Source organism: Homo sapiens, chromosome 12 (genome assembly GCF_000001405.40).
Source record: "Homo sapiens chromosome 12, GRCh38.p14 Primary Assembly".
In the NCBI taxonomy this organism is placed as follows: Eukaryota; Metazoa; Chordata; class Mammalia; order Primates; family Hominidae; genus Homo; species Homo sapiens.
In genome coordinates this window covers 39,126,415-39,146,669 of record NC_000012.12, presented here as the reverse complement: position 1 = coordinate 39,146,669, position 20,255 = coordinate 39,126,415, and the positions used below count along the sequence as shown (strand labels likewise).

Sequence of the window (20,255 nt, the reverse complement as noted above, 5' to 3'; positions counted from 1 at the left end):
TAACAAGAGCTATTATCTCATTTGACAGAGGATGTAATTGAGGTGCAGAAAGGTGAAGTGACTTGCCCAAGGTCACACATTTTGTAAGAGGTGAAGGTAGAACTGCAACCCAGGTTGCCCAGCCTGAAAGTCCGATCACTAACAGAAGTTTCCCACCCATCCCTAATCGACAAATTCGCAGTACAATAGAAAATCGTGGGTTTAGTTTAGTTTTTTTTTTTTCTTTTTTTCTTTTTTGAGACGGAGTTTCGCTCTTGTTGCCCAGGCTGGAGTGCAATGGCGCGATCTCGGCTCACCGCAACCTCCGCTTCCCGGGTTCAAGTGATTCTCCTGCCTCAGCCTTCCGAGTAGCTGGGATTACAGGCATGTGCCACCACGCCCAGCTAATTTTGTATTTTTAGTAGAGACGAATTTCTCCATGTTGGTCAGGCTGGTATCGAACTCCCGACCTCAGGTGATCCGCCCGCCTCGGCCTCCCAAAGTGCTGGGATTACAGGCCTGAGCCATTGCGCTCAGCCTCAGAAAATCGTGTTTTTAAAGCTCTTTCAGTTGTAATACATTACAGTTCTGTGAGGAGGAGAGCTCTGAGTGCTTACTCGGCATCAGGCAATTTGTGCTATATGCCCATATCTTCCAAATAACCTTATGAGATCAGTACTGTTATTATCCATGTTGTACATGTGAGGAAAATGAGGAACAGAGAATGGAAATAATTTTCTAAGCATCTCATAACCAACCGACGGTGGATTCAAGCCTATAAAATCGGATTGCAGTCTATATAGCTTGTCTCTTAAGCCTTGTGCGTCAGAACTATTATTATAAATCTTTTAATATGCAAAAGCAAAACAAACATGAAACTAAATGGAGGTATTATAGAATTGGGGAAATGGAGAGAGGTGGAAGAGGGCTTTCCGTGTGCAGTAGCAAGAGAAGTGGCAGCAGCTGGCAGTGAGTGGATTAAAATGTTACCACGGAACGCGCCTTTTTAACTCTGGCCTTGAAATCCTGTCAGCGCGCTTCCCAGAGCCTTGCACCAGGTTGGGTGGACCGGATGGACACCCTCGGTGTCGCCTGCTCTCCATCGCCCCTGGTGCCGGCGTCCGCCACTGTCGGGACTTTGGCGCCGGGACCGGCGGGGTTAAGGCGCCGGCGCTGGAGGCGGCGAGTTCGCGACCTTCCGGGGCGGCGGACCACCCCGCACACGCGTCCTCAGCGCCGGACCCTGAGCCGGCCGCGAACACGGATCCGACGTCAAGAACTGGGCACTTCCCGCTCCGTTTTGTCCGTGCCCCTCGGTGCTGGGTGAGGTCCTCCAGCACCAGGAGGCGGGAACGGGAGTGACTCGGGTGCTGAAGCGGGACGAATTGGGGGCGGTCGAATCCACCTGCTTCGCCGGCGCTGGCTCGGGGCACTCCGAGTGGGCGCGCGCTTTCGCGCCGGGGTCGTCTGAAGGTCGCGGACTCTGTCCCGCTCTGGAGTTTGTGGCGGGTTTGGGCGTGGGTGTGGGTAGGAGGTCCCTTCATGAAGCCCCGAAGAGCAAGAGGGACATAAGTTGGCGCCTTTCTCTTCCACTCTTGTTTTAAAAAAGAGAGTCGCGGCGTGCAAATGGGGGCAGGCGGGGAAACCACGCTCAAAACCGGGTTCTCTCCTGGGCTGTAGTGATAAGGGCCGCGGAACCCCACCCCCCTCCCCAGAATGTGCCCCAGGGCTCGGGGCCGGCTTCTGTGGCGGCCTCTCCGGGACCGGCTGGGCCGCCCAGGCCCGCCCCTCCCCAGTCCCGGCGCCCTGGGCCCTCTGTTTGCAGGCGTCGCGACTTGCAGCCAGGGCACGTGGGGCAGGTGCGGATTCTGTCGCTAGAGACCTAGTCGCCTCCCTCCTACTGCCTTTCCCGCGAGCGGGGCAGGTGGCGCAAGGTCCGCTCCCACTTGGACCCCCAGTTCGCGGCCAGGGGGCTGAGCCGGGGTAGCTCGGCGTTGAGTGGGGACCCGGTCGGCTGCCGCCGGGGTGAGCGGTCGGTCCTGGAACCTGCGAACGTTCGGGAGCACAACCCAGTCCCGGGAAACCGCTGCTTAACCTCCGTCTCCTGCGTTTTAGATCCTCTTTTGACTGTCCCACATCTGATACTCCTTACTGTATTGCACACTTCAGCATTTGTTGAGAGGGTAATCTCATATTAAGTGTTCTTACCACCATACAAGAAAATAGAAAGTCATGTTCACTGTTTCATCTCCAATTTTAGGGATCTATACCTGACATAATTTAAATATCCAAACTAAAACAGTATCTTGGTGACTATTCAGAGGGATGCACTGACTCGCTGAACGCTAGAATTTTTCTATGTTCCACAGTCTGTGGAAGATGCAACGATCCCTTTTCAGAAAACTAAATCTAAGAGGTATTAAACAGCCTATGTTATGACTAATTACACTGACAGCTTGCAATGATGGGGCGTGGGGGAAAGAAGACATTATAATGGACTGAGGTCCTTTGAGAACATGACAAAGAAGGGAGGGAGTTGAACACCTGGAAGTCCAGTTCGGGAAGGATGTGCCTGATAGAAGTTGATCCAAACCAGGGGGAGCAGGCTCCAGGGAAGATGAGGAGGGGTAAGGTGGCCACTGAAAGCGACTTTTTGGAGGTGTGTTTTAGACTCAGGTTCCTCCATAGCCTTTTTATTTTTAAAACATATTTACTCTGTTCATTTCTTTCTCTTAATAACTGTTACCTCTGTCCAAACAACAATAACTTTGCATCAAATAATATTTACGTGCACTTTACAGATTTTCTAAAAGTCATAATGGCTTATTGCTACAATCTGCATTAATTCTTCACAAAGGAGATAAATGTAACAATAGTTTATCAAAGCAAGAGTGTTTTGTTGTTGTTGTTGTTGTTGTTGTTGTTGTTTTAATACAATTGGCCCTCTGTATCCGTGGTTCTGCATTGTGGATTCAACTAACCAGGGCTGGAAAATATTCGGAGGAAAAAAAAATAATACAATTAAAAACAAAAAATACAGTATAACAACTATTTCCACAGCATTTACATTGTGTTAGGTATTTTAAGGAATCTAGAGATGATTTAAAGTGTATGGAAGGATGTGCAGTGTGCATAGGTTATATGCAAATACAAGGCCATTCTATGTAAGAGACTTGAGCATCCTTAATACCTAGTTGGTAAGGGTGGAGGTTTGGGGGCGGGGGGTCCTGTAATGAATCCTAGGTGATACCCTGGAACAACTGTATTCCCCTAGGAGCCTGGCTTTGTTCAGACATTTCTTCCTCAATATTTTTCCTCAGTATTACTTATAAAAATAAAGTAATGCTGTAAGGAGATACAAGACAGAGGAGATTCCTGATTTGGAGGAGCTTTTGATTAACTTGTGGAAATGTACAAACAAGAGAGAAACAGTAAAGCAAAGTATTGTACAATGGCACAGTATAGATTGAAACAAATGACAAGGGAATGTAGAATAAAAGAGTGATTACAGAGAGATACACTTCTGGATGCCAAACTAAGTTCTAATACATAGCTTTCTTTTCTATAACGTACCGTATTAGTCTGTTCTCACACTGCTGATAAAGACATACCCAAGACTCGGTAATTTATAAAGAAAAAGAGCTTTAATGGACTCAACAGTTCCACGTGGTGGGGGAAGGCAAAAGGCACATCTTACATGGCGGCAGATAAGAGAGAAAATGAGAATGAAGGGGGTTTCCCCCTATAAAACTATCAGATCTCCTGAGACTTATTCACTACCATGAGAACAGTATGGGGAAAACTGCCGCCATAATTCAGTTATCTCCCATCGGGTCCCTCCCACCACACGTGGGAATTATGGGAGCTACAATTCAAGATGAGACTTCAGTGGGGAACACAGCCAAGCCATATCACATGCTATAAACTTGAGACAAGCTATAGTACTTGAGACAAGTCTCGGTCAATTTAGAAAGTTTATTTTGCCAAGGTTATGGATGCACCCATGACACAGTCTCAGGAGGTCCTGATGACATGTGCCCAGGGTGGTCAGGATACAGCTTACTTTACACGTTTTAGGGAGACACAATACATCAATCAATACATGTAAGAATTACATTGGTTCAATCTGGAAAGGCTGGACAACTTAAAGATGGGGGCTTCCAGGTGATAGGTAGATTTTAAAATTTTCTGACTGGCAATTGGTTGAAAGAGTTATTATCAATAGAAAGGAATGTCTGGATTTGTGGAGACCTAGGTTTTATCTTGTAGATGAAGGCTCCAAGTACCAGGCTTCAGAGAGAATAGACTATAAATGCTTCTTATCAAATCTAAGGTCTGTGTTGATGTAAATTCTGGGGAGCTGTAATGAGGCTTGTCCAACCCTCTCTTCTATCAGGTTCTGAACTAGAATGGCAGAAAGGAGGGGTCCATTCAGATGGTTGGCGGCCTTGGGATTTTATTTTTGGCTTACGATACATATTGGGTTTAATAATTTGGCAAATTATAGGTAGTTTGTATCAACAAAGGTTTTAGAGTGAAGTTACCTCCCTGCATCAGATCAATAAAATCAATAGTAGATGAATTGCTCAGCTGTTTTTAGGCATGTGTTCAAACAGACCCGTATGCTTTATTTTGTCTTGTTTTGTTTTGGCATGGTTCTTGAGGTAGAAAACAGACCAGCTGAAGCAGAGTTTCAAGGATACCAATCAATTACTCACCTAACAGGTGCTGTAACCAGAACTTCCTGCAGGTTTAACCACTTTTTTTACGTGACACCTATCCCCATTTTGCTCCAACCAACCATCAAGATCAGTAAATCCACAAGCTGTAATGATGACCATGCTATTATGAGATATTCTATTTCAAATTAGAAGGCGCATTGTGCATTTTTTCTTTATTTGCTATGGGACTTTTTTTGAGGAAATAGTGAGGAATTCCATAAAATTGTAGGTTATTGCCATGTTAGAGAGACTTTTCTGTTGAATAGACTAGAGATTCTCAAAATGTGGTCTCTGAACCAGCTGCATCGATACCTTCTCAGAACTTGTTAGAATGCAAATTCTCAGGTACCATCCCGGCCCTACTGAATCAAAAATTCTGGGGTGGGACCCAGAAATCTGTTTTAACAAGCCCTCCCGGTGATTCTAATTCATACTGGAGTTTGAGAATTACTGTGATAGACCATAGTAGGAGGTTTTCAAGATGTGGTCTGTTGACCATTGCAACAAAAGCATCTGTGGTGTTTGTTTCAGAAAAAAAAAATGCATAGTTAGTACTATATCCTCTCTTCCTCAACCATACCGCCTCTGAGTCTGTGATTTGCAGGCTTGCCAACTGCACGTCTAAGTGGTTCATCAGTTAATTCATGCACATATTGAAGTTTTACAATCTTTATTGTAGGAGTCACTATGTACAATGTATGTGTGTGTGTATGTTTTAAAGTCATATTTATCGATCATTTATTAAAGGAAATGTACACTCAATAAATAACAGGCAGAAGGATAGAATGGAAATATTGGTTTCTTATGTACTGGGAAGAACTAAAGATTAGGCTCCTCCCCACCTTGGGGAGAAATTAATTTTTCAGTTGCAAATAAGTAATACACTATCAGTAATACTCAAGAACCCTGGTTCTATTACATACTAGCTCTGTGACATTGTCAAGTTACTTAACTTCTTTAAGGCTTAAGCTTTCTCATCTGTAACATGGAAATCCTCCTTGATGAATTTTGGGATTTAGTTTAAATGTCATCTCAAAGAGACCTATCCTGACATTCCAATCTGGAATAGTCACTGTGACACGCACAGTCTCTGCATGGGACTTAGGATCGGTTGGTTGTTCTTTCTTATTTATTTATTTATTGGTTGATTGGTTTTATTTGCTTCCACTGGAACATATGATGCATGAGGTCATAGACTTTTATTATTTTGTTCACTCTTGTATGATCAATAACTAGAACATAGTAGGTATTTCACAAATACTTGTTGAATGAAGAATTGACTAATATAAAGACTTGTTCAGGGCCTGGTCACGGTGATAGCTCTATAAGTGGTTGGAGTATGATAGCACAAGTACATGGGAAGTACTAGGGAGCATGATGGAGTTACCTGGCTAAGGCAAGTCAACAAATTAGAGGCTTGCCTTTGTTTTGTTGTATGATTTATTTTTAAAATATATTTCATTTTTTTATTTCTGAAGCTTTCTGGTTTTTAGCTGTGCACATTCTGTTTTCTTCTCTTGTGTGATTAACCCGTTGGTAAAATTTGATGTTTGTGTATATTTGATATTGATTTATTTTGTAGAACTAAATTTTCTACCTATGTGCAAATAAATATTTATTGTACAAATAAATGACGAAGTACATGTCACAAGTGATGATAATTTTTAAATTGCATTGGAATTACTTCTAATGGGCTTGGAATTTTTCCTCCCCCAAATGTTTGTTTTTCTTCTTTATGTAAGAAAAACTCTGAAAAACATAAACTGTAATATGTGCAGACTCTCATAATTCTTGCTAATAAACCAGCATAAATAACTGTATAATTTAGGTGCTAAATGAAATAATCTCATAGGAAGGGGAAAAATAATGATGAAGGATATAAAAAGGGAAGAATTGCGGGATGTATGTCCTTGCATAAGAAAGAGAGGAATGAATTAGTACAAAAGTGGAGGGATAGGCATTAGCTTGGAGTCAAGATAATTTATCTATACTATTAGGAAGGAAAGCAGTTACAATTGCTTTTTAAATTAGTTAAAAGAAGAAAAGAGAAGAAATATTTTTACTGTTCTTTATAATTACAAAATCACGTTTATTATCCCTCTTTGTTTTTTTAGTGTGGATTCAAGTTGCTGCCTGGAGTTACTTGCTTTTAACCTAAAGAGCTTCCTTTAGTATGTCTAGTAAGATGGGTTTGTTAGTAACAAATTCTCTTCATTTTTATATATTTGAGAATGTCTTTATTTTGCCATCATTTTAGAAAGATAGTTTTGTTAGAAATAAGGTCTTCAGTTGACAATTACTTTTTGATCTTTCAGCATTTTGAGTATGTCATTCTCCTACCTTCTGTCTTCATTGTTTCTGATGGAAAGTCAATTGTTAATTTGAATGAGGTTCTCTTGTATGGGATGAGTTATTTCTCACTTGCTGCTTTCAAGATTTTCCCTTTGTCTTTAACATTCAACATTTTTGCTATGGTGTTTCCTGGTGTAGATCCCCTTGCACTTATCCTAATTAGATTTTGTTGGGTTTTGTAGATGTATAAATAAATGTTTTTCATCACATTTGGGAATTTTTCAGCCATTATTCTTTGAATATTTTTTATGCTCCATCATTTCCCCTCTCTTCTTCTGTTATTCCCATTTCATGTATGTTGGTGAGCTTAATGGTGTCCCTGCATTTCTATGAGTTTCTGCTCATTTTTATTCATTACCTTTTCTCTCTGTTTTTTAGATTGCATAATCTCTATTGCTCTGTCATCAAATTTTCAGATTTCTTTCTTCTGTCATCTGAAATCTACTATTGGGTCCCTCTAGTGAATATTTCATTTCAGTTAATGTACATTTTTGCTGCACAATTTTCATTTGGTTCTTTGAAAACATAATTTCTGTCTTTTTATTGATATTCTCTTAATTGATGACACATTGTCATCATACCTTTCTTCTTTAAGTATTGTTTCTTTTAGTTTTTGAAATATATTTACAGTAGCTGCTTTAAAATCTTTATCTGCAAGTCCACCATCTGGTCCTCTTCAAAGGCAGTTTCTATTGCCTGTGTGTGTGTGTGTGTGTGTGTGTGTGTGTGTGTGTGTGTCACACTTCTTCCTTTTTGCATATCTTGTAACTTTTTTGTTAAAAAGAAAGTTAGACATTTTAAATAACACATTGTAGTAACTCTGGCTACTGAACTCTACTCTTTCAGGCTTGTTTTTGATGTTGTTTGCTTGTTTATTTGTTTGGTGACTTATCTGGACTATTTTTGAGAGGTCTATTTTACCTGCAGTGTGCAGCCACTGACATTGCTTCATGTAGTGCAGCCTTGGACATGTGCACAATCTTTCTATGACAATGGTGGTTTTAGAAGGGTTCTCTTTTTCTATTTCTTTGATTTCTTTAGTAAATTATTTGCTTCGCTTGGTATCAGGCTCAGCTGTAAGCCAACACTAATTGCCAACTGATTACACTATTGTTTTTGACAATGCCCTGGGGCGTAGATTGCTCTCCAGTTGCATACAATTAAATCCAGTCCTGTTCACAGGGGTAGTCTAGGAAACTAGTCTTTGAGATTTGTTCCAGCCTCGTGAATGCTCTTCTTAACTGTCTCTTTCCCTGATTCTCTCTGGTAAAATTCAGCTTGGTCGTCTCAAAAAAAAAAAAAAAAAAAAAAAAATTCTGCTTGGTCTATGATTTCACTTATTGCTTTCATACCCCTTCTTAGTTGCTTGCTACAACATCTCTGTTGTTTTCAAAAGCGTCCTTAGGTTTGAACGTTTCCGCACGCTATTCTATATAAAGTAAATTTCCTTAGGGAGCTTTTTGAAGCTTTTTGTTCTTATTGCCAGCCTTTCCCCCTGGGCATGACACCCTGTTTACAAATAAGGCATTGGTGGGGGCAGTAGCCTCTGATCATCTTGGGTTGCCTATACTGGCATGGAACCTCTGCCCTACTAGCAAGCTGAGGGTGAGGATGATCAGGGTCCCAGGATTCTCAGTATATTTTGCCTGGGATAGGGCTTCCTCTTTACAAATGGGGATTGTGTGGAAAAAGAGGATCCTGTATCTCTTATTGGCTCTTCCCTGGAATAGAGCTTCTGCAGTACAGAAGTAGAGGGATGAGAAATGCTCCTGAAGTGTCCTTCCTGGGGAAAGACTGTAGCCCTACATTGGGAGCTAGAGAGAAAGGGAATCCTGTGTTAGTGGCTCCACCTGCGTAGGGTAGGTCTTCCATCATACTAGGCTGCCAGGGTTGGGATGGGGATGGAGTAGCTCATGGTTCAAATGACAGACTCTTTCAATTTTGATAGAGATTTAGTAGATTTTACTGAATAAATGTTTTCTTTTTTCATTGGTCATATGCACTTAGGACAATTTCCAGAGACTTTAAAGAAGTTTTAACCACCATTCCAGAGGTTTTCCCATGAATGATTGAGGCAGGAGAATAGGGCCTGGATGCAGGGAACCTAAGGACTTCTAGAACTAAATCAAACAGAAACATTTCCGCTATGACAGTAAATATTCTCTTCATTTACATAGGGCATACACCAAGTAACCAATGAAAAACCTCTAGAGGGTATTGAAACCCCAGAAAATTCTGTAAATGGGACCCTTGAGCCGTTTGCTCAGGCCTGCTCCCGCCCTGTGGAGTGTGCTTTCATTTTCAATAAATCTCTGCTTTTGTTGCTTCATTCTTTCCTTGCTTTGTTTGTGCATTTTGTCCAATTCTCTGTTCAAAACACCGAGAACCTGGACACCCTCCACTGGTAATGATAATTTTATAAGAAAAAGCTGAGATGACAGCATGAGATAAAAAACATAATCATTCAATTTTTACACTACTAACTATTCATTGGCAAATCACAAAAATAATAGCTATGACAAACTGTACATCAACTAATGGCATAAGACCATAAAGGAAAACTCTGCTGATTAAGGCTTTGGGTAATATGTCATTCTAGACAGCCAAGGTTTACAAATAGCTTAAATCATTTCCATTTTCAAGCTTTAATCCTTGTGGATATGAAACTTTCTCAGATGTATTATATACTTCTCCAACCTTATTAAACAGATCATACTAAATTTAATTTCCTTTTGCTTTATGATCGGGAATTGTCATTGCAAATATTAAGTATTGTGAAATGCTATAACATGGTGATATTCTTAGACTTATTGAACAGGAGGTAGCTGGCCCCATGTTGAAACAATTTTGAGTTCATTGTGTGTTTAAATATGGGAGATTTCCTGTAAAATTTAAATTTAATTTATTTTGAAAGATCTGTGTAGCTTTCATTTCCATTTGGCTACAATATAATTCTCCAGCCTTATTAAACAGATCATACTAAATATAATTTCCTTTTGCTTTATGATCAGGAATTGTTGTTGCAAATATTAAGTATTGTGGAATGCTTGATATTCTTAGACTTATTGAAGGGATTAAGGTGCTTTGTCCTTAAGTTGCTGGAAAAGAGGATCTCCATCCATACTCCAAGAGTGGGTACTTGGATCTCATGCATGAAAGAATTTGAGTCAAGTCACAGAAAACAGTGAAAGAAGCAAGTTTATTGGAAACTGCTCGGTTACAGAGCAGGGCATCCTTAGAAAGCAAGAGGAGGAATGTGCAATCCTTTGTTAGTGTCTTTACTTATAAAAAACTATAAAGAGCTATACTTAAAATTGAAATGTGCAGATGTGCTCACTAAAGGTAGTGGCATTTATTGTTATCGATGACCATTAATCCTTCAACCTAAACTTGTTCATTGGTGCTGTCTTTAAGTAAAGTGGGCTGTATTCTTAGGGCATCTGGACATTCTGTGGGCTGGGTGGGAGATGCTCTATATGGCCATAAATGTTCTGTAATTATAATTGGTGGTCAGCTTAAAATGTGGCTATTTTCAGACTAGAAGTATTAACCTTATAGGTGCCTCGTGAGTGCCTAACTACTCACTTCAAGATGTCGCCACTGTAGTCAATGTTGTATTAAACCAGAGGCCTGGTAAGCAGGGGTTTCTCTAACACTTACATTGGAGAGCACAGAAGAGCCTGGTACTTTGTGGACTGACACATAGAGCCCGCAGAAACGTTACACAGATGTTCTGCTTGGCTGACCTCATGTTGGAAACAATTTGAGTTTATCGTGTGCCTAAATTTGGAAGATTTCCTGTAAAATTTACATTTAATTTATTTTGAAAAATCAGATCTGTGTAACTTTCATTTCCATTTGGCTACAATTGGCTAATGCTGAGCAGTGGCTGTTCCTTGTATTACGTTGGTGCAAAAGCAAGCAACCTAATAAAAGTTTTTGCATAGTGGCAAAAACTGCAATTACTTTTGCACCAACCTGATAGATGGGCATGTGTTCTCTACTTTGTCTCAGTCTTCACCCCTCCTTATTGTCATATACAGGGTTCCTTTACTCATTTGCCTGCTTTGCTTACCCTCTCCTGAAAGTATCAGAGTTTGGGCTTCCAACTTTTTATTTCAATTGGACATGGAATCCAGATAGTTGCAATTCTAAAAAAAAAAAAAAAAAGATGGGAAGGGGTCTGTAAAAGAGTTAGCAGGCTCTAAGTGAGACCACTAAGTGAACCTTGTGACACTTAATTTGGCCACTCAGAAGCCTTCTGAAAAATTACTTGTGGCAGGGCGCGGTGGCTCACGCCTATAATCCCAGCACTTTGGGAGGCCGAGGTGGGCGGATCACGAGGTCAGGCCATTGAGACCACGGTGAAACCCCGTCTCTACTAAAAATACAAAAAATTAGCCAGGCGTGGTGGCGCGCGCCGGCAGTCCCAGCTACTCGGGAGGCTGAGGCAGAAGAATGGCTTGCACCCGGGAGGCGGAGCTTGCAGTGAGCCGAGATCGTGCCACTGCACTCTAGCCTGGGCAACACAGCAAGACTCTGTCTCAAAAAAAAAAACAAAAACCAAAAAAACAAAAACTTGTAACTTAAAAATTACGAACTAGTTTCAGATCAATGAAGTTTCTAGATAGCTAAATCCTTTAAAAAGGAAGTGTCAATAGAGGATTTTGATGATTATCTTTGAAACAATGCTATTGAGAAGTTAGATGTAGTTTATTCACTACATTCAAACTTTTAATAAGATAATTCACAGTAGTTATTTCATATAGCAAATATCTGGTCCTTTCCTGAACCTCCATTTCATTCCCCATGATTTAGGCCTCAAAACTTCTTTCTACACTCGTGTAATAGCTTCCAGATTGTTCTTTTTACCTGTAGCTTTTTGTCTTCGGTCTTTTTTTTTTTTTTCTTTTTGAGATGGAGTCTTGCTCTGTCACCCAGGCTGGAGTGCACTGGCGTGATCTCGGCTCACTGCAACCTCCACCTCCCAGGTTCAAGCGATTCTCCCGCCTCAGCCTCCCGAGTAGCTGGGATTACAGATGCCTGCCACCATGCCCTGCTAATTTTTTTAGTTTTGGTAGAGACGGGGTTTTGCCATGTTGGCTAGGCTGGTCTCGAACTCCCGACCTCAGGTGATTCACCTGCCTCAGCCTGCCAAAGTGCTGGGACTACGCGCGGCTTCAATCTATTTTTCCTTTCTTTCTTTTTTTTTTTTTTTTTTTTTGAGACGGAGTCTTGCTCTGTCACCCAGGCTGGAGTGCAGTGGCGCGATCTCGGCTCACTGCAAGCTCCGCCTCCCGGGTTCACGCCATTCTCCTGCCTCAGCCTCCTGAGTAGCTGGGACTACAGGCGCGCGCCACCACGCCTGGCTAATTTTTTGTATTTTTTTAAGTAGAGATGGGGTTTCACTGTGTTAGCCAGGATGGTTTCGATCTGACCTCGTGATCTGCCCACCTCGGCCTTCCAAAGTGCTGGGATTGCAGGCGTAAGCCACTGCGCCCGGCCCTTCAATCTATTTTTCATACAGTTGCTGGAGTGCTACTTTGAAACCAAAAATCTGATAGACTATTTTGGCTTGCTTTGAGAAATATGTTAGCATGTTGTTCAATCAGAATCAGTGTAGTAGAGTTCACTCTGTAATGAAAACCAAACTATAAGATACTCTATGTGCTAAATACAAAGCAAACCAAGAGATGCAGGCTACAGATTTTGTTTCTGTAACTGCTTATGAGATATTAGATGTAATTAATCACTCTCTTTCTCTACTACTCCTTCTAACATTGCCTTGGACTTCAGCTAGGAGTTCAACTGGGCAGGGTTCCTTGATTGCAGAATTGCTATAGTCTTCCATTAATCTGTATCATCAAGCAAAGTCATAGAAGGAGAGCCCTTGGCTTTCACAGTACAGTCCCTGACTGTATATTTCTCAGGAGTCACAATTAAACTCTCTTCCATGAAGCAAGTACGTAAACACAGCTGACAGAGTAGGCAATATGGTAACTTGGAAAGGACCAGCTTTCAAGTCCTATCTAAGCTGGCACCACACGTGGCTATGAGGATCAAATAGAACCCAGTTATGAGTAGGTTATATAGCTGAAATATAAAATATGTTTGTGTATATATCTATATCTATATCTATATTTGTATGTGTGTGTATGTGTGCAAGAACATACTACAGCCTCTGGCAGGTAAAAGCAAACTTTTGTTATTTTGTTATTTAATATTTATTCAAAAGGAGAAGTATGCATTCTATAAAGTAGTAACTGCCTGTCAATTACCAGGTAATATGTTAATTTACAACAGTAATGAGACTACATTAGCAATTGGAGTCACCACTCAATGGTACTGAATTTCACTTATAACAATTTGGTGCCATTTTCACATACCCATGTATCTTCTGTGTGTGTTAAATTGGATAATTAATGGAGGGTATAATATAAATTGCAATGGGTGCATCTTTTAAGTATTTATAATGACATGATTATATGCAATTTCCCAAGTCATGTAGTTGTGGCTTTTTGTTTGCTCTTATGATTGTCAGGAGAATTGATAGTGGCTTCAGTATGGCTTTTCCTCTGAAAACAGGCTTTGCTACATGGTCAAAGAGTGAATGTAGAGGTACTGTTAATTGCTGAAGATATCACTCAAGCTTTACAATTAGGAACTAGGGCAATAATCAATGAATGGGATTAAGTTATTCCTTAAACTACTGTGAGGCAAACTCAGGACAGAGTAACATTTATCATATGGATTCCATAGCCTCCACTCTGTCCATTGGGATACAGTGGCAGTGTGGATTCCCAGACATTAGTGCTATTTTAATGCCTGTATTCAATCATTTAAAAAAAGAGTTTGGTATGTTTCCCTATTCCCAAGACACAGTTACCCAGATAAATAGCCATGTATATTTTTGGAGAAGGTTAGGAGTAAGATTCAAGAATACAAAATAATATTAATTTGGCATTTTCTCTCAATGGTACCCAGCCCCTTTCACTTAAAGGCTGCTGGGAGTGAACTGACTCAGGGTCTGGAACTGTTTGAGAGGCAATGTTTGAGCAGCGTAACTTTATCATGCTGGTGTTCACTAGATTTGGATTCTTTTTTTCTGTTTTACAAATCAGAGATTACCTTAGTGATTGCTTATTGGTTTCATTCCTGGAACTTCATATTTTAGCCAGAATCAGAGATCTTTTCATGTAGTAAGTTTTTCTGTACCTCATGTGTCCCAGTGCCTATTAATGTTGATGATGCCACCTGATTTCAGTCATTTTGGGCTCCAGTGAAAATTGCTGAAACTAGAAAGCCTTTTGCATTTCATACACTTGCTGAATAGATTGCTGATCTGGAGATCACAGTCAGTAATCAATATTTAAAAGACTGATGTTTTCTCCCAAGACTGGTGTTTTCTCCCAAGTGTCTTTATGCAGCAAGAATGGAGATTGATTTGAGTTCTAATGGGCAAAGAATGAGGAGAGAAGTGGGTGAGATGCACAATAAATCTAGCATTCCACTCTTCAAAGTAGGTGTATTACCCATGCCATGCTGAGTTATTATCCTGGGTACTAGAGCAACAGTGAGAGGAGGTCATAAATGAGTTGTATATGCAGTCATCCCTCAATATCTCTGAGGGATTGGTTCCAAGACCCCCATGGGTACCACAATCCACAGATGCTCAAGTCCCTTATATAAAATGGTGTAGTATTTATATATAGCCTATGTACATTCTACTGTATCCTTAATTTTTTAATTTTATTTATTCATTTTTTTGAGACAAGGTCTTGCTCTGTTGCCCAGGCTGGAGTGCAGTGGTGCAATCACAGCTCACTGCTGCCTCAACCTCCTGGGCTCAAGTAATCCTCCCACCTCAGCCTCTCAAGTAGCTGGGACCACAGGTGTGCACCACCACAACTGGCTAATTTTTAAATTTTTTGTAGAGACAGGGCCTTGCTATGTTGCCTATCAGGTTTTGAGCTCCTGGCCTCAAGTGATCCTCCCTCTTCAGCCTCCCAAATTGCTGGGATTACAGGAGTGAGCCACTGTGCCTTGCTGCCATATGCTTTAAAACATTTCTAGATTACTTATAATACCGAATACAGTGCTTATACATTACTTCATTTTCATGGATTCAACTTAGGTGCGGTGGAAAATTCTAACTTTGCTTCTTGGAACATTGTGGATTTTTTTTTTCTGAATATTTGCAATCCTTGGTTGGTTGAATCTACGGATTGAGAGCCCATGAATATGGGGGGCCAATTGTGTTTCTCCTGCAAGAGGGCCAAGATAACCTCAGGTAAAGAAAACTTAATGGTGTTTCTGAGAGATTTGTGTTTCTGTAATTCCCTGTTTCTTCCAATACATCTCAGATATCAATGTTAAACTTGTTAATATCTTACTGTTTTTTCTGACTAGTGTTTTAATGTTTACAAAAGTGGTCTGTTGAGATGGTGTCAGTTTATCTGGGTCAGTCTGGAAATCCACAGCATAAATTTTTGTGTTTGACTTTCTATAATCTCAGTCTTAAAGGACATCAATATGAGACTTGCATCAGGTTATTAAAAGGTCCTGAGTTTGATTCCATACCTTGAAGGGAGGGCTTTAAAATGGGAACTTTTAATTTTCTTTTCGTTAAGTTCCTTTACATTGTTCAGAGCCACTATTTTCCCCAACAGTCTAAAAATCTTCCTATCCACTTTATTTTGGTAAATGGCAGCAGCTAATTGTCCTGCCAGAGCTTCACCATCAGAGATGACTGCAGTTGAAAACTTGACTTGTTGTTTTGCAGTTTGTAGCAATCAATGGCTACCAGTTTCCCTTCCTGGAATTTGAAGTAGATTTTTATTTTCATTGGACTTACCTCAACTTAATAAGTAAATGCAAATACTGCAAATATGCTTAGGATTCCTTCGCCTGAATTCTACACTGGTACCAATTTCTCTAATTGTAGTATCCTTTAGTTGCAAATCACAGAAACCAATTCTGGCTAACTTAGGCAAAAAGCAATTTGTTTACTCATAGAATAAAAAGAAAATATGGTTACCTAGGGTAGGTCAGGGAATTACTGAACTATCGGTAGGGCATTCTCATCGGTTAACCCAACTCCAGTTGCTTTCTGTCCTGAGGTTCAAATTAGCCTTAACCAAGTCACATCCTCACCTACCCTATGGTGACAATGAGGCCGGGGGTTTGTGGCAGGAGATGGTCCTAGTCCTGTAATGAGTAGCCCCACCAGCCACTCATGGCATGGAGACACAGCAGGTCTCCCAAGAAGGTTGTGAGGCCCAGAAAGCAAAACAGAACAACCCAGATTACCCACTAACACATGATTTGACCTTTTTATTAATGGCTTTTTTTTTAAAGCAGATTATAGTGGTGTTTAAAATATATGTGCCATATAATGCTTAGAAGATAATTTTCTTGATACAAGTTTTGTTTATTTCCTAAAGAGAACTGTTGAAATGTGCAGAGTATCTGGAAAAAATAACATCTATATCTATGTAAAAATTACATTATTATTTAAGTGAAATTATATAATTACATAAAAGTGTGTGATTCAACAAGTTTCTTCAAACTTTAGATATGATGGAGCAAGGTAAATAAAAGTAGGAATAAAAACAAATGTTCTTTCACAACAGGGGAAAGATTATTGTTAAATATATAAAAAAGATAAATTCCTAAGGGTATTAATGGAGAAGAAATATCTGCTCAGCAGGCAGATATTGAAAACAATAACAATCTCAACATGAGTCTCAAAGGCATATAATTAGCATATGGAAAAAACAGTTTAGACCATTAGTTCTCAACTCTGGCTGTGTGTTAGAATCATGTTTTTAAAAGCATAAAAGCCCTATCACCATCTCCAGAAATTGTATAGTAGGGCCCAGCAGGACTGCTGTGTTGCACAGCTCCATGGGACTCCATTCACATCGAAAGTGTATGCAGTGTGTGGCCCTTGGAGTTGTGACCTGTACAGCTAGAAGCAGTGACCTGACAATCAACATTAAGCTATTTTTTTAAAATTTTTACTATTGTCTTTTTTTCCACCAGCATTTAAAAAAATCTCCCTGATGTTTTTTTTTTAAAGCTTAGCCAGATTTGCAACCACTGGAGTCAGAGAATCCTTTGTCTCTTATTCCCATGCCCAGCTTTAGAGTGCCTTTTTGTGATTACTCTTTAAAATTCTCTTTGTGTTAACTTTGGTCTCACCTAAAGTTCTCTTAATGTTAACCTTGATTTCACTTAAAGTTCTCTTAGTGTTAACCTTGATCTCACCTGTCTACAGATGTAGTGGGTAGAATTGGGGATATTGAACACACAGAATTATTAGCTCAAGCCTGTACCTCACATGGGTGACGCTGAGCACATCTTATTCCAGGACAAATGTTGGAAGAGCTGGTTATGGGGAATGTCTGGTAACACTGAAATACGCAAATGTGTTAATGGTAAATGACTAATTTTGATTTATCTGTAGTAACAGCCTATGGCAGAAGAAGTCTTCAGAGTAGCTAACCTCTGGGTGTCCTGTACTATCCCTATTACTTAATCATCTCCCTAATTTACTTTCTTTTCTTCTTCTTTTTTTTTTGATAAAGAAAGGACATGTACATTAATTTAGAAAAACAGGAAAATATCAAAAAATGTTTCAAATTTAATTAATTGTTGGTGCTGCCTCTGACTTTGTTATATGCTTATGTTATATCCTTAATATCTTGTTTTACAGAGGACTAATTATGTATAGGGAAAATTCACAATTTGTGAGATGTTTAAGCCTCCGTTATAAGAGGTACACATGAAGAGATTGATATTAATTAAACTCAAAAGAAAGTAACAAGTAAGAGCAAAGGACTCACAAGACTCAGAGTATATTCATGTGATGCTTTAATAAGGTAAAGGATATGGTTCAGCGGGGAAACAAGGCCCAAACAATGAGAAGTGTGCAAGGCTTCCAGGTGCAGCCCTCAGGGGCCATTTCTGGTTTTATAGGTGAACTGAAACTACCTTATACTTATTTCTTGGGCTGCTTAGAAGAATAGTACTGGTAGTTGGATAAGATATGAATGAGATTTACTACTGATTTATAGGGTTAGTAAGTATAGTAATTTTTATATGGTATATTTATAGGATAAATACACCAGTGATTTATTGGCTTAAATAAACGGCTTAAAATATGTCATTGTCACATCTCTGCCTTTGTTTTACTTCTGGTTGTAGGATCATGGCCAGAGATTTTAGAATCTATAAAACATTGTTTTACCTGTGCATGATCTAAAGAAAGGCCGATGCTCTTCTTTAGCAATTCACAGGTGGTCTTCCTTGTTTAATGTGTACAAAATAGTCCTCACAAGTTTGAATTAGCCAATGTACATTTTAAATACCCCAACAGAAACTCACTATTTAAAGAAATCATTTGTTAAATAATTTTGTAAACTTTAGACACTGTTTGCAATATAAATCTTCATCCCCCACTTCTTTTTTATGCATTGATTGGAATATAGCTATTCGCTTTTGAAGTCATTGCCCCTATTTTGATCTTAACCTATATTCCTCAAACTATAAAACCCTGTGAATCTTTACGGTGAATGGGAAAAGGACATATGTCTTATAGGGACTCTTTCTATAGAGCTGAAATTAAAAGGCACAGTGTGTTGGCAGACTGCAGAACGTAAACCTGAGAAAATGCTTCCTCTGCTGCTTCCTTAATAAATCCCTTCAGGAAAATATTTAATTGCTACTGTCAGAAATCCAAAATATACTAGCCTAAGCAGAAAATGGTATTTTTAAAAAAGAGGCACAATAGGCTGGCTCACAGCAAAAAAGGAAACTTACAGGGTTGAGGACAACGACCTGGATCTCAGCAACTCGAAATGAGAGCTGAAATGTTACTCTTGTTATCACTCTTATTTTCTTTGTTTGTAGGCTGTGTCTTCATGGGCCTCTCCGCATGTCAGAGATCATGGTCCAGAAGGACAGCCTTATGCCAGCCTGTAGCTGCCAGAGAATCCCAAGGAAGGCTGGTGACTAATCCAGCTGAGTCATAACATTGCATATCAGGATTGCTCTGTGCTGACAAATGGACCCATTTTATGACAAGGGGGTGGGAAAGGGCAGAATATTATTGGCCGTCTCCACTAGAATAACATGATTGGTGTAGGGAGGGGACATTATTACCAAAGAAAATGGTAGCAATTACCAGAAGGTGGTAAAAAATAGTCCTGGGAAGGGAAAACCATCACGTAGCAACTTTTACACTGGACTCAATATGGGTACAATGTGAAAAATAATTCCAAATTAACGTAATTTCTTTACTGATATGGGTAACCAACTCATAAAGTAGAGAATGGCTCAGGTAAATTTTTTTTCAGCAAATTGTTTAGCAAAGTCTAACAATTTCCTTGCCAATAAACTATGTGTAATGGATTGAATGACAACCATTTTTGATGAATTGCTAATTTGTTGGGAACAGGCCCCTAAAATCTAGCCATAAAGTGGCCCCAAAACTGGCCATAAACAAAATCTCTGCAGCACTGTGACATGTTTGTGATGGCCATGACGCCCACACTGGAAAGTTGTGAGTTTATTGGAATGAAGGCAAGGAACACCTGGAAAACCACTTAAAGTTGTTCTTAAACCACAAACAATAGCATGAAGGATCTGTGCCTTAAGGACATGCTCCTGCTGCAGATATCTAGCCAGAGCCCATCCCTTTACTTTGGCCCATCCCTTTATTTCCCATAAGGAATACTTTTAGTTAATCTTTAATCTACAGAAACAATGCTTATCACTGGCTTGCTGTCAATAAATATGTGGGTAAATCTCTGTTGGAGGCTCTCAGCTCTGAAGGCTGTGAGACCCCTGATTTCCCACTCCACACGTGATATTTTTGTGTGTGTGTGTGTCTTTAATTCCTATAGTGCTGCTGAGTTAGGGTGTCCATGACCGAGCTGGTCTTGGCACTAATTTCAATAATCCGATGTCAATCTAGAGTGAGGTATCTGGTAGCATTCCATAAAAAACAGGGTTTGCACTGTGAAACATTATTTTTGTGTCTTTAATGAACATAATAGTTCAATTGACTTTTACTAAGAGCATCTTATGGTCAGGCAGTATCCTAGACTCTGCTGATGCAAAGCATACTAGACAAATTACCTTCCTCAAGGAGCTCACTATTAGGGAACACAAATCCATAAACTAATAGTTATCTTAAAA

General features: G+C 39.9%; 1 long non-coding RNA gene across 1 annotated transcript in view, besides 1 other annotated feature; it reads left to right on the top strand.

Moving 5' to 3' along the window:
* Positions 1-1,199: 1,199 nt before the first annotated feature.
* The window catches only part of LINC02406 (long intergenic non-protein coding RNA 2406), a 57,760-nt gene continuing 38,704 nt past the window's right edge, over positions 1,200-20,255 (top strand). Inside the window, exon 1 of the long non-coding RNA NR_183477.1 lies at positions 1,200-1,302. This is a non-coding gene — a long non-coding RNA (long intergenic non-protein coding RNA 2406). The remainder of the gene's footprint in view (positions 1,303-20,255) is intronic.
* Positions 16,565-17,066: an enhancer, noted in NCBI's record as "NANOG hESC enhancer chr12:39523406-39523907 (GRCh37/hg19 assembly coordinates)". NCBI's record gives its function as "activates a minimal SCP1, AML or CMV promoter by ChIP-STARR-seq in naive H9 embryonic stem cells {active_cell/tissue: H9 hESC(naive)}" and the evidence as "EXISTENCE:reporter gene assay evidence [ECO:0000049][PMID:30033119]".